The sequence below is a fragment of the Homo sapiens genome, chromosome 20 (assembly GCF_000001405.40).
Source record: "Homo sapiens chromosome 20, GRCh38.p14 Primary Assembly".
Lineage (NCBI taxonomy): Eukaryota > Metazoa > Chordata > Mammalia > Primates > Hominidae > Homo > Homo sapiens.
Genome location: NC_000020.11, coordinates 41,236,019 through 41,251,129, shown reverse-complemented (window position 1 = coordinate 41,251,129; position 15,111 = coordinate 41,236,019). Strand labels below are relative to the sequence as shown.

The 15,111-nt window shown below is 41.6% G+C and overlaps 1 protein-coding gene across 24 annotated transcripts in view; it reads left to right on the top strand.

The window, feature by feature from the left end:
• Positions 1-15,111, top strand: part of ZHX3 (zinc fingers and homeoboxes 3) — a 139,277-nt gene that overhangs the window by 66,602 nt on the left and 57,564 nt on the right. For 3 of the 24 annotated variants that reach the window (NM_001384323.1, XM_047440044.1, XM_047440042.1), the window contains 2 exons: positions 11,426-11,532; positions 12,334-12,442. The exons of the other annotated variants lie outside the window; for them this stretch is intronic. The gene's annotated coding sequence lies outside the window, so the exon portion shown is untranslated. The remainder of the gene's footprint in view (positions 1-11,425; positions 11,533-12,333; positions 12,443-15,111) is intronic. 24 annotated transcript variants of the gene reach the window in all.

Below are 15,111 nucleotides of genomic sequence, written 5' to 3'. Positions count from 1 at the left end.
CTGTTCCCTTTTGATGCTTCAGAATTCTTTTAATCATTTCCTTTCTGTTTGAAAAACTTCCTTTAACCATAAAAATGTTGTGCCACTTCCTTCTGGCCTCCATGGTTTTATTTTTTAATTTTATTTGTTATTATTTTTTATTTTTAGTAGAGACGGGGTTTCACCATGTTGGCCAAGCTGGTCTCAAACTCCTAACCTCAAATGATCTGCCTGCCTTGGCCTCCCAAAGTCATAGGATTACAGGCGTGAGCCAGTGTGCCCGGCCAGGCCTCCATGGTTTTAGATAAGAAACCTGTTGTCGCTTGATATTCCCTTATAGGTAGTATGTTGTTTTTCTCTGCTTTCAAGAGTTATTCTTTGTCTTTAATTTACAGAAATATAATTAAGATGTGTCTTAGTGTGGATTTCTTTGAGTTTATCCTATTTGGGATATGTTCACCTTCTGAATCTAGGTTTATGTCCTTCAGCAAATTTGGGGAATTTTCAGTCATTATCTTTTTGAATACTCTTTCAGCCCTTCTTTTTATTCTCTCCTGTGACTCTGATAATATGAATATTGGATCTTTTGCTATTGTTTCATAAGTGTTGGAGGTTCTGTCTGTTTTCAGTCCATCTTCATGGTTTTGCCATGTTGCCCAGGTTGGTCTCGAACTCCTGGCCTCAAATGATTAAACCATCTCAGCCTCCCAAAGTACTGGGATTACAGACATGAGCTACCACGCCTGGCCAACAGGTGATTTTTTAAAATCTACTTCGGACATTTTGTCTATTAAGAGAGTCTGGGTCCTATTTAAATCTTCCATTTTAGCAGGCGGTCACAGTGTTTAGATGCAGCATGTGAGCTGGGATTTACTCTTGTGGTTCCAACGATGATTTACTTTTCAGAGCCTTTGCAGTACTCTTTTGGTCCACTTGGTTTATCTGGTGCTGCCACGGCTCCCACTAGTCCCTGTTGGTGCTGTCTGATGGGGGTAAGGAGTTTCCCCAGGCCATGCTGCCTGATATCTAGGTAGAGGAGGGAGTCTCCATCCTGCTGGGATGCAGCTTGCTTCCTGGGGGCCCTGTAGTTGGGGGGAAAAGTGTTTCCCCAGACTGCTTTATTGTTAGTGGGGTCCTGAGCTATCCCCCTTGTTGGTGCTTCCAGCTGGCTTGGTATTGTCGGCAGAACTCCCATTCAATCCTCTGCTGCCCTCTGTTGCTAGGTTGGGGGTTGGGAAACACCCTCGGCCACCTTCTTCTATTGAATGGGGGTGTGGTCATAAGATGTGCTGCTATGTTGTTCCTCCAATCCTGGGTCCCTAAGTAATTCACCTTCCTTTTTCTTTCAGACTTCTCCTTTGGTTGCCTTTTGTGTTATTTTCAGGATTTACAGTTGTGCTTACAAGGAGGTGGGGAGAGAAATGGGTTTAGACCATCTTGTCTGAACGGTGACAGGGTTCTATTTAACCATTCATCTTTTGGATGCTAAGATTGTTTTAAATGGTGAGTAGATTAGACTTTGTATTGGAGAACTGGGGGAAGGAGGCCTCCCAACGACCTTGATATCTGAAAGGCTTTCTTACTCCACAGACTGATGGGCCTGGGCCTGGTTGGCCGCCCAGTGCAGGCTATTACTCATCTGCCTTCCGCTTGCTTGGCTGGTGATGTCAGTTCTTCGTGTCTGCTTTAAAGGCAGGCTTTTCTTGTTCTTATGCTCACTGAATAATGCAGTAGTTTGTTATACTTTTAGCATGATTAAAACAGAGGAACTGTCACTTTTGTAGGGTCTTTTCTTGACCTATCCTTTTGGTCAATGTTGTTTCCCTTTTGGCAAGGGAATTTTGCAATTTATTTTAAATTCAGTCATGCAAATTGTATTTAATTGTGACTTAACTATGAGATTTTTTTTTTTATGTGAACAATTCTGTTTCAGGGCTGCAAAACAATGACCAAGTTTTTCTTATATTAGTGTGAAGAAAGTTTTTAACATTTTCCATTTGTGAATGAGGAATTTGAGGTCATCTCAGTTCTTCCAAAGTAAATGTACCTTTAAAAAAATCAGAGTGAGAAATCCTATATAGTGGAAGTCATGGGTAATTTTGTATAGTTTACAAGAATAGTTTTGCACAAATAATTTCAGGTTAAAATTGCATACTATTTATCCCCACCCATTTCCTTTATTGGCTGTGACACACAGGAATTACGCCCATTGCTTGACTAACCTTTCTGACCTTTTGTTACTTGGCTATAAATTGACTTGGGTCTTTTGCAAAAACACTGTCAGGGGGGAAAAATCTTTTTGTTAGAACCCAGCCAATTCCTGCTTCAGTGGAGAACAGTTTGTTCTCCTGAAGAAATGAGCCAGTTCAGTGAACAGAAAAACATAGCCATAAACTGGCATCGTCAAACACTGCAAAAGCGATTGCCCACATTCATTCCACAGAGGAGGGAGCTTTATAAAAGAATGAGGTTTTGGAGAGAGAAATACAGTTTTGAGCACCATGGGCTTTAGGTCAATGTAATTGACTCGTTAGAGTGAGCTGTAACCACATAAAAAAATTTTCTTTTCCTGAGCTCTGGCAGCCACCAACATTTTAACATTTTAAACAGGAATATTGTGGAATTCTCCTGCTGCCTGCTTTCAGTCCTCTTGACTGTGTTGTATAGCATGTATCCTCTGCATTTCATTTGATGTTCCCATGAGATTGGAAGCTGCCTGTGTTCAGCAATGCAAACATTTCCCAAGTAACTGCTCTGTGCAAAGCTGAGTGTTGTTATACTTTTAGCAGAGAAGACATTAATAATGGTCAGTGAATTACAAAAAAAAAACCGGAGAAACTGGAGAAATCGTTGTATGACAGGCACAGGTGCAAAGTAGTAGAAAAATGTACAAGACACAGTTCTGGACAGACTGTACCACAGAAGTAGAGGCATTTGAGAGAGGTTTGAAGTCTGTTGAAGAATTTGCCAAATGGATGAGAAGAGTATTCTCGTCAAAGAGAGGAGTATATGTAAAGCTGAAGAGTGATGACCCAGCATGGGGTTTCAGGTACTATAAGTAGATTTACGCTTGGGTGTAAAGTATAAGGAGGGAAACGAGTAGCAGACAGTGAAACTGGAGAGGCGCAGGGACCTGATACCATCGGTCTCAAATGCCACCTGAAACAGTTAGGAATTTATACTGTAGGCCATGGGAGGCTCTGTAAGAGCTTGAAGCAGGGGAATGGCCTAGGCAGAGTTGAGGTAGGAAGATGTGGGTTTGTAAGGAACTGTTCAGAAAGGGTGGGTTGGACCAGACTAAGACAGGATCATGATACCAGGCTGAAGTGGGCAGACTTTGTCCTGCAGGGAATCACTGAAGACAATGATATGTGCTCTAGAAAGGCAAATATGGTTGTGATTCAGGGGAGCATACAGGGAGGGCAGGGTGCAGGCAGTGTAGATTGCTGAAGTTACTGCAGAGGTTTACAAGCCACAGGAGAAGGATGGTGCTGCAAAACCTTACTCAGGGTGCAAGTTGGTCACTGGGGAGTGGAGGGGAAGAGGAAGGAGGCAAAAAGCCTGAACATGCTACTTAATTCTCCTGTTAAAGACACTTAACAGGCACTTAATGCCTGTTAAAGATACTTCCACACAGACTATCTTGTTTAATTTTTATAGTGGGCCCTATCTTGTCTATATTCAGATGATTTCCATTGTGCAAAAGAGAACTGAGGTTTGGGAGGTTCAATACTTTGCCCAAGACCCAAATGACCTACACTAGGAAGTAGCTGAGTCCAGATTAGAACCCAGGTTCATCCAACTCTGAACACAGTGACATGCCACCCTTGACTAGTACTTGCTATAACTGAGCTGCCCAGTATTAAGCAAGTCTTTCTTTTTTGAAACAGGTTCTCCCTCTGTCACCCAGGCTGGAGTGCGGTGGCATGATCTTGGCTCACTGCAGCCTCGACCTCCTGGGTTCAGGCAATCCTCCTGTCTCAGCCCCGCCAAGTAGCTGGAACTGCAGGCATGAGGCGCACGCCACAATGCCCATCTAATTTTTGTATTTTTGTAGAGACAAGGTTTTGCCATGTTGTCCAGGCTGGTCTCAAACTCCTAGGCTCAAGCGATCTGCCAGCCTTAGCCTCCCATAGTGCCAGGATTACAGGCATGAGCCACCATGCCCAGCCATATACATACTCTTTATAAGAGTTCATGTCTATAAATCATAGTACTGCTAATATTTAGATATTAGTTTTTTTTGTTTGTTTGTTTGTTTGTTTGGTTTTTTTTTTTCAGATGGAGTCTTGCTCTGTCCCTCAGGCTGTAGTGCAGTGGCACAGTCTCGGCTCACTGCAACCTCCACCTCCTGGGTTCGAGTGATTCTCCTGCTTTGGCCTTCCGAGTAGCTGGGATTACAGGCATGTGCCACGACGCCTGGCTAATTTTTGTATTTTTAGTAGAGATGGGGTTTCCTCATGTTGGCCAGGCTGGTCTTAAACTCCTGACCTCAAGTGTTCCACCTGCCTCAGCCTCCCAAAGTGCTGGGATTACAGGTGTGAGCCACTGCGCCTGGCCTAGGTATTAGTATTAATGCTAATACAATTAGTATTTCAAAAGCCTGGATTTTTTTCTTCTTAACCTATTACCCTATGAAAATATCAGCTATATCATTTTATTTGTTAAAGTCTCACCATTTTAGAAGAATTGGTTTAGGGGAAAGCCCAACCAAATTGGCAAAAAGTATGAGTGAGTGAGTATGCTTAAATAAATGTAATTTTAAAATGTTCAAGGTGTGTCTGTATGTGTGTGTAACAATTCACATTAGAATAACAGACTATGGCTTTCAGAAATTAGAGAACCTTTTAGGACTGACATGAACTTAATGTAAATTTTAGTAAATGTGTGCTTTAATAGGTCTCAGAAAACATACCTTTTAGTATTATATCTGAAGAAGAGGCTTACTAAGCAAAAATCATCTTCAGTGAAGTCCCAGGACGAATGAATGATTCTCTTTATGCAGCATTCATTCTACTGTCATGAGGTCATGGAGTCTGTGTTTAGGGCCTAGGAAAGGAGATGCAAAAGAACCAGAAACAAAACTGGCCTACTCTATATCAAAAATATATTCCTGGTTAATGGATCAGCTCCTAGTTAGATACCAAGGGGAAGTACTGTTCCATTTGATATTGGAGACTTGAGGTTCCAGCATTGAAGGCTGTAATTATGGAATGTTGCAAGCTGTCTCTTCAGCATCTCACATTTTCACCCTTTCCTTGCTTGCTGCTTCTCAAAGTGGAACCAGAAATAATGAGTGTTTTCAAGGTAGAAAAGTGCAGGAAATGTGGGTAAAGTATCTCAATCTTAAGATTACTGTATTATTATCTTTGTGGCATCACTGTTAGAAATTGCTAGGTTTTTAAGAAAAAATTAAGATCTAATGTAACTGAGCTGTGGAGCTGTAGCACATTTCCCTGCCCAAACAGTTGGAATTATATATAGCACAGGAAAAGAAAGACAGCCCTGCTTTCCTCTAGTGGCTGCTGAGCATAGGAGCAGAGCAGGAGAGGCAGTTATGTAACTGGGTGTGCTCATTAGTTGTGCTGTAAATTCACACAGCTGGGCTTCCATGGGTCCTTTGTTCACCTCAGCGTTAACTCTTGCTCCCTTCTTTGTATCACTGGGGCCTGTGCCTGGCACATAAGGAAATACTAGAGTCACAGAACTCAAAGCACAGCACCTGACACAGATTAGAGCCCCTCTGCTCTAATGTTGCAGAGCAAACAGACAAGCAGGCAGCTACAGCTTGCATGAGGCAAGAGGCTGTGGGTGCTGAAGTGTGAGGAGGCACAGCATGGAGGAGTCTGCCAAACAAGCCCCTGGCCACGCTGGGAGTCCCCTCAGTCTGTGAAGATGCCTCTGAACCTCACTTTCCTTCTCTATAGAAAGGAGCTTGTTATAACCACTTCATATATAGGTATTACATGATGCTGTGAAAATTGAAGGTGGTGACTCATGCAATGTGCCTTGCCCAGAATTGACACTCAGTGGGCATTTTGTAAACATTTACTTGTAGGCCCCTTCCCTTTCCTCAACCCCCATCCCCAGCCTCAGCTTTACCTTGTTTTCTTTTTACTGGGAAACATGGTCCTTTTTGTGAACACTGTCAATAGATATCTTTTGAACCTCAGAATTCTCTCATCTCTACTCCCTTCTTTTCTTTCCTTCCTCCCTCCCTGAAGTAAGTATCCCAACTCCTTTTGCTTTTCCTGGGCCAAAACCCTTCCAAGGGTGAGAGGTGAGGGAATAGGAGATGGCCGAGAAGGTAAGGATGGCACTGCAGTCACAGACACAACACACATCAGTATTTCTCCTTATCCAGTTCCTCTCCAATCCTCCCAAATGGGCGTGGGAATTCCAGGTTCATTATGACTATTCTATTAGCATTCCCCCTGGTTGTCTTCTCTTTCTTTGATTTACTGAAAGGAGAAAGAGAGTAAGGGTTTTTCTGTTCCAAGCTGCGTGGGTCTAGAATCCATCCTCTCCACTTATAAATGTCCTACTCCCAATCAGGGTCCTACTGGACATTCATCAAAGGGCCCTCATCATGGGATCTTATTTGCCTCCATTTGTCTTTTTTTAAATATGTGTTTTTTAAAAAACAGATACAGGGCCTTACTCTATTGCCTAGGCTAGACTTGAACTCCTGGGCTCAAGTGATCCTGCTGGCTCAGCCTCCCAAAGTGGTAGGATTACAGGCGTGAGCTACTGTGCCTGACCCTCCGTTTGCTTTAAGGTAGTCAGAGTCCATACCTGAGGGAGTTGCTGAGAGGACTTGAGTCACACATCTGTCCCTCTTTCCTATCTGGTTCATGGCTTCCTGTTCTTGCTCTGCACCTCCCCAGCCTCCGCATTTAGCCAATCCCCAGTTTCTGGCACATCTTCACCAAAGGCACTGGTTCTCAACTAGGGATAACTGTGTCCCCTAGGGGATATTTGGCAGTGTCTGGAGACTTTTTGGTTGTCATGACCTGGGGACAGTGTGCTCTACTGGGATCTAGTGGGCATCTAGTCAGGGATGTTACTAAATATCCTGCAATTTACAGGACAGCCCCCCAGCACATAGGATTATCTAGCCCTAAATGTCAATAAAAAGATTGAGAAACCCTGATGTAAGAGGTGGTCCACGAATCCCTTAGTGTTTGCCTGCTTCCAACTCTGTGTTTAAGAGCTTCTGTTAACCTCAAAAGCATCTCCTCCCCAGTGGATGGCTTCACATCTCTTAAGTTTTCCTTCATCCTCACTCCAGTCAGAGTTGATCCTCGTCATAGGGTTTCTAAACTGCTTGTGTCCATTCATTGCAGCACTTACCACATTTGCCTTCTAATAGCCCCCTTCAACATGATATGTTCTTTCTCCTTTGAGAGTAGAGTAAGAGCTTGATTATGAGGATGACCATTGAAATCCCATGTATTGTTATTATAATAATAATATTATAAGGCCCCAAACCTCAGCACTACGGGAGTCAGTGGCACATAGTGGAGTCAGCCCAGAACATAGTGTCAGGAGATTCAGTCTGGTATCCAACTATAATTGTCCAGCTCTGTGACAAAAGATATAACTTTCCTGAGCTTTATTTAGCTTCCACATAGGTAAGACAGAAATAATATCCATTTCCTAAGACTGTTTGAGTCAGTGAGATGTTAGCATAGAACCTGGTCCATAGTGGTCATTCAAATATGGATTGAATCGGGAAAATGAAGCCAAGGTTCCAGATGTGACCCTGATAATAATTGGCTCATGGGGAAGAATGGAACTGTTTCTTATTACCTTGATAGCGGCAATCTTAATTCCAGGCAGCCACGTCAGGTAATTACACTTCTTGAGAATGAAGAGAAGCCCTACTGATGCTGGGCTGGTAGCACATCCTATTCACTGTGGAATTACTAGAAAGTGTTGGTGCTTTCTCCTAATTTCATGGAAGCAAAGGGAAATCCCATATGCCTCTGACTCCCCATTATTTTATAGAGGAAGTATTTCTCCCTCTCTTGGAGCACTGGGAACCTAGAAGCATACCCTGAAGGTTGGGAGGTCTGCCCCGACCTGGGTACCCAGAAGTCTGCTGCTTTGTAAAGGGACTGCTGAGGCATGAGAGGGACACCACATCCACTTAGACCCACGACTTCCTGGTACATGGAGACAAGCACAGAGGAAGTGGTATTACATTTTTTTAGACATTATAAGACATTTAGCTTTTTCCACCAAGCTAAAAGGTTAGTGACAGTTGATCCTGTGGGCAAAGACAATTGCCATATGCTCTTAGGGATAGGGTTATAAAAATCACTTAATTATTAAACAATGGAAGTACTATCTAGTATTTGGCCAGAGGATTTCAAACTTCCTCCATATATGGCCTTATGTCTAGAACAGAATAGAAGTCTGTCCACATCAGGGAAAGAGCTGATTCCATCCTTGGAGATAACTTTGAAAGGTCTTAAGGCCTGTCAAAACGTCATTGGTTTTCCATTCTGTCAGTGGCTAAAGACATAGTACACTAGTAGATCATGGGTCAGAGGCCAGCAGACAGATTGTGTTTGATCAGTTAGGCATCAGTGTTCACAGGGTTCACAAAGCTAACAGCTGTGTATGTGGCTCCTCCTCACCCTATTTGCATTCTTTGATTTCTCCTAAGCCACTTTACTCCATATCTCAGGACTTAGCTCTTCACTGTAAATATACTCTTTCTACTCCTCACCCTTAATGGATGTTTGTGTTTTCTTGTCAGCCAGATGTGCTGTGGTTAAGAATCTAGGCTTTGGAATTGGGAGTACCTGGCTTTGAATCCTTGCTGTTGCCTGTTGCTTGTGTGACTGAGTCAAATGACTTAGCCATTCAAGCCTTGGTTTCCCAATTTGGAAAATCAAGTTGATATTTAGCTCATAGGGTTATTGTGAGGATCAAATTAAATGAGAAAATAAATGTAAAGCACAGTGCCTGACATCCTATAATTTTATCCAGTTGATGGTAGTAGTAGTTGTTACACTTCTTGAGGGCAGAGACAACTATAGTTTTGAACTCTTCCTCCTTGTACCCTGTCTCTTAGAGCTGAGCATCTAGTAGCACTCAAATATTTTAAAATTTGAAATAATGACAGGTGCACACATGTACACACACACACATGCACACTCAGAGGATAATCTGATAATGACAGTAATTTAAAACACTCTAGAGGTCATGATTTTAAAGTGCTTGAGCTTACTTTTATAAATATGATACATAAGGGGTCTAATTCATGGATTGGAAGAATAAATATTGTTAAAATGTTCATACTACCCAAAGCAATCTACAGAGTCAATGCAATCTCTATCAAAATATGAATGACATTCTTCACAGAAATAGAGAAAACAATTCAAAAATTTTTATTGGAACCACAAACAACCCAGAATAACCAAAGCTATCCAGAGCAAAAAGAACAAAACTGGAAGAATCACATTACCTAACTTCAAATTATACACAGAGTTATAGTAACCAAAACAGCATGATATTGGCATAAAAACAGACACATAGACCCATGAAACAGAAGTGGGCAAAGATTTCTTGAGTAATACCTGGACAAGCACAGGCAACCAAAGCAAAAATGAACAAATGGAATCACATCAAGTTAAAAAGCTTCTGCACAGCAAGGGGAACAATTAACAAAGTGAAGGGACAACCCACAATATGGGAGAAAATATTTGCAAACTACCTTTCTGACAAAGGATTAATAATCAGAATATATAAAGAGCTCAAACAACTCGATAGGAAAAAAATCTAATAATCCCATTAAAAATGGGCAAGGGATTTGAATAGACATTTCTCAGAAGACATACAAATGGCAAACGGGCATAGGAAAAAGTGCTCAGCATCATTTATCAGAGAAATGCAAATCAAAACTACAAGGACATATCACCTCACCCCAGTTAAAATGACCTTTATCCAAAAGGCAGGCAATAAGTAACAAATGCTGGTGAGGATATGGAGAAAAGGGACACCTTGTACACTGTTGCTGGGAATGTAATTTCCCACTGTGGAGAACAGTTTGGAGGTTCCTCTAAAAACTAAAAATAGAGCTATCATACAATCCAGCCATCCCACTGCTGGGTATATACCCCCAAAAAGGAAATTAGTATATCGAAGAGATATCTGCATACTTATGTTTATTGTAGCACTATTCACAATAGCCAAGATTTGGAAGGCAACCTATGTGCCCATCAACAGATGAATGGATAAAGAAAACTGTAGTACATATACACAATGAAGTACTATTCAACGATACAAAAGAATGAGATCTTGTCATTTGCAACAACATGGATAGAACTGGAGGTCATTATGTTAAGTGAAATAAGCCAGGAGCAGAAAGACAAACTTTGCATGTTCTCAGTTATTTGTTGGAGCTAAAAATTAAAAGAATTGAACTTATCGAGATACAGAGTAGAAGGATGGTTACCAGAGGCTGGGAAGGGTAGTAGGGTGAGTGACGGGGGGGAAATAGGGATGGTTCGTGGGTACAAAAAAATTGAATAAGACCTAGTATTTGCCAGCACAACAGGGTGACTATTGTAGAAAATAATCGTACATTTACAAATAACAGTATAATTCAAAGGATAAATACTTGAGGCGATGAATTCCTCATTTACCCTGATGTGATTATTATGCGTCACATGCCTGTACCAAAATATCTCATGTAACCCATAAATATATATACCTACCATGTACCTACAAAAATAAACATTAAAAAAGGGGTTCTAAGATATGTGAGTTACTACTCTTTGCAGTAAGTTCGATGATTTGAAGGGAAAGCATCTGAGCTATATCATCTCAGCCCTCTGCCAAAGTAACTTCACTGGATTATGATATGATTTACTGTCCCATGCTCTGCCTTCTGGAGGATCCATGTAGGAATGGCCTGTTGACCAGCCTGGCCAACATGGCAAAACCCCCCATCTCTACTAAAAAAATACAAAAATTAGCCTGGCATGGTGGCATGCACATGCAGTCCCAGCTACTTGGAAGGCTGAGGCAGGAGAATCGCTTAAACCTGGGAGGCAGAGGTTGCAGTGAGCCAAGATGGCGCCACTGCCCTCCAGCCTGGGCAACAGAGCAAGAGACTGTCTCAAAAAAAAAAAAGGAATGGCCTATTGAGTGTGACTGCATCTTTCCAAACTAAGCCTCCTGCTTTACCTATTTTCTCTTAAACACAGTTCCAAGACATTCTTCTCCTTGGGTTTCCCTTCAAAAGAATTTATCTCTGTATAAGAATAAACATTTGTCTTTGTTAAACGATAAAAATAGTGTCACTTAAAATACATTTCCATATTTTCCCTTGATACTGGGAATCACAGGGTCAAATTCAGTGCCAGGTGAAGGGTGGAGGGCATTCTAATTGTTCCCCTTCTCACAATGTCTCTTCTCCCTCCCTCCCCAGTCCCTTCCATAGGAAACAGGGAATGTTTGTTTCTGTCTTCTGGTAGGAGAAGGATTGGTCCCACCCCCAGCTCCAGGGATGGATCTTGATTGTTTAAGCCCAGTCAGGTAAACCCCACACCTGTTGCACAGTGATTAACCCAGTGGCAGTCATGCCAAGAGGTTTGTTCATGGCTGGGCATGTGACCTGTGCAGGCCACCAGCATGCTTGCTGAGGACTTTGGGAAGAAGGCTCTTCAGTCTTCTGATAGACCTCCCCAAGACGGCCCTCTCTCTGTGTCCTTCTGGATGTTTGGGACATGAAGCTTGGGGCTGCTGGAGTTACCTTGCTGTCACGAGGGAAGCTACCCCTAGGATGTGGTTGACGAAGTAGAAAGAAAGAAAATAGGCCCTTATTGGCCAGGCACGGTGGCTCACGCCTGTAATCCCAGCACTTTGGGAGGCCGAGGCGGGCGGATCACGAGGTCAGGAGACCGAGAGCATCCTGGCTAACATGGTGAAACCCCGTTTCTACTAAAAAATACAAAAAAAAAAAATTAGCGGGGCATGGTGGTGGGCGCCTATAGCCCCAGCTACTCGGGAGGCTGAGGCAGGAGAATGGCGTGAACCCAGGAGGCGGAGCTTGCAGTGAGCCGAGATCATGCCACTGCACTCCAGCCTGGGCGACAGAGCAAGACTCCGTCTCCCAAAAAAAAAAAAAAAAAAAAAAAAAAGAGAGAGAAAATAGGCCCTTGTTTTCATCATAGAGCAACTGACTCAAACTCAACCTGAAGCCGCTGAACTTTCCATTTGCATGTGCCAGCAAACCACCTTTATTATGTAAGCCCTTTCAAATTAGGTTTCTTACTTGCATCTTAGAATCCAAATGGTGCTTAATAGATACATTTCCTTGTATTTTGTGTGTTTTAGTGATTCTAACCCATGGACCAAGACCCTGCCTTGGAGATTGGGGAACAGGTGTTGGAAGGGCTCTATTTTGGCAAAGAATGGATTATTTATGTGAGCATATTTCCGCAAAGTAAGGAAATGTCTTGCCTATATATGTATTAATATTTTTCAAATTTATCTTGTTTTGATGAAATATAAATTTAGATAAAAATACTAAAAATACTGAATTTGTAGGTTTTTATCCTGCATTTTTCACAATGAGCAGATGTTAGAAGCATCATGTAAATTTGTCCAAAAAGATGTTGTTTTTTGCAGAAATTTTTGACTTGAGGAAGAAGCTCTTGCTTAGATAGATGTTTCCACCCTCTGTCCCTCCTTCTTTTCCTTCCTTCTTCTCTTCTCCAGCCTTCACTCCCTGCTGCCTTCCTTTTTTTCCCTCTTAGTCTCTGTTATTACCCTGTTTTCCTTCTGTTGAGTCTTGTTACTCAAACTCTGTTAGAAATAGTTGAGATATAAATTCTAATTAATTTTATTTGGATGCCTATGTTAAGCTTCATTTAACTTTTCAGATCCTGCATCTATGAGTTCGACATAAATGCAAACAAATAATGGGTATTGAGTGCTTTAATAGCAAGGGACCCAAACTGAAGTTCATTCCCCATGCAACAAATTGGGTGTTGGATGGGAATGCTTATAATGATTGACCCCGGTTTTTGGTAGTAAGCAAGCAACTGCAAGTGAACTGTAACTGATGTATTTAATGAGTGCTCACTGTGTGCACATTGCCATTAGTGTAGCTGAGTGGTGCAGCACTGAACCCTTACCTCAAAGATCTTATAGTTCATTGGAGAGAAGAGACATGTACACCAGATACTGTGTAAGCCAGGGCTGTGTTTTATAAGGGAATATGTAAGTTGACATCTGGAACCTCTTTCTTAGAATTATCCTACCAGAAGAGCCCTCTAGAACCTTGTGTTTAATAAATATTGATCACCGCCATTATAAAATATGCTGTTTGTTAATAAAACATATTTTCTTTATTTTATTTTATTTTTTTAATTATACTTTAAGTTTTAGGGTACATGTGCACAACGTGCAGGTTTGTTACATATACATGTGCCATGTTGGTGTGCTGCACCCATTAGCTCTTCATTTAACATTAAGTATATCTCCTAATGCTATCCCTCCCCACTCCTCCTACCCCACAACAGGCCCTGGTGAGTGATGTTCCCCTTCCTGTGTCTGTGTGTTCTCATTGTTCAATTCCCACCTATGAGTGAGAACATGCGGTGTTTGGTTTTTTGTCCTTGCGATAGTTTGCTGAGAATGATGGTTTCCAGCTTCATCTATGTCCTTACAAAGGACATGAACTCATCATTTTTTATGGCTGCATAGTATTCCATGGTGTATATGTGCCACATTTTCTTAATCCAGTCTATCTTTGTTGGACATTTGGGTTGGTTCCAAGTCTTTGTTATTGTGAATAGTGCCGCAATAAACATACATGTGCATGTGTCTTTATAGCAGCATGTTTTATAATCCTTTGGGTATATACCCAGTAATGGGATGGCTGGGTCAAATGGCATTTCTAGTTCTAGATCCCTGAGGAATCGCCACACTGACTTCCACAATGGTTGAACTAGTTTACAGTCCCCCCAACAGTGTAAAAGTGTTCCTATTTTTCCAGATCCTCTCTAGCACCTGTTGTTTCCTGACTTTTTAATGATTGCCATTCTAACTGGTGTGAGATGGTATCTCATTGTGGTTTTGATTTGCATTGCTCTGATAGCCAGTGATGATGAGCATTTTTTCATGTGTCTTTTGGCTGCATAAATGTCTTCTTTTGAGAAGTGTCTGTTCATATCCTTTGCCCACTTGTTGATGGGGTTGTTTTTTTCTTGTAAATTTGTTTGAGTTCTTTGTGGATTCTGGATATTAGCCCTTTGTCAGATGGGTAGATTGCAAAAATTTTCTCCCATTCTGTAGGTTGCCTGTTCACTCTGATGGTAGTTTCTTTTGCTTTGTAGAAGCTCTTCAATTAGATCCCATTTGTCAATTTTGGCTTTTGTTGCCATTGCTTTTGGTGTTTTAGACATGAAGTCCTTGCCCATGCCTATGTCCTGAATGGTATTGCCTAGGTTTTCTTCTAGGGTTTTTATGGTTTTACGTCTAACATTTAAGTCTTTAATCCATCTTGAATTAATTTTTGTATAAGGTGTAAGGAAGGGATCCAGTTTCAGCTTTCTACATATGGCTAGCCCGTTTTCCCAGCACCGTTTATTAAATAGGGAATCCTTCCCCCATTTCTTGTTTTTGTCAGGTTTGTCAAAGATCAGATGGTTGTAGATATGTGGCATTATTTCTGAGGGCTCTGTTCTGTTCCATTGGTCTACATCTCTGTTTTGGTACCAGTACCATGCTGTTTTGGTTACTGTAGCCTTGTAGTATAGTTTGAAGTCAGGTAGCATGATGCCTCCAGCTTTGTTCTTTTGGCTTAGATTGACTTGGCAATGCGGGCTCTTTTTTGGTTCCATATGACCTTTAAAGTAGTTTTTTCCAATTCTGTGAAGAAAGTCATTGGTAGCTTGATGGGGTTGGCATTGAATCTGTAAATTACCTTGGACAGTATGGCCATTATCACGATATTGATTCTTCCTACCCATGAGCATGGAATGTTCTTCCATTTGTTTGTATCCTCTTTTATTTCATTGAGCAGTGGTCTGTAGTTCTCCTTGAAGAGGTCCTTCACATCCCTTGTTAGTTGGATTCCTAGGTATTTTATTCTCTTTGAAGCAATTG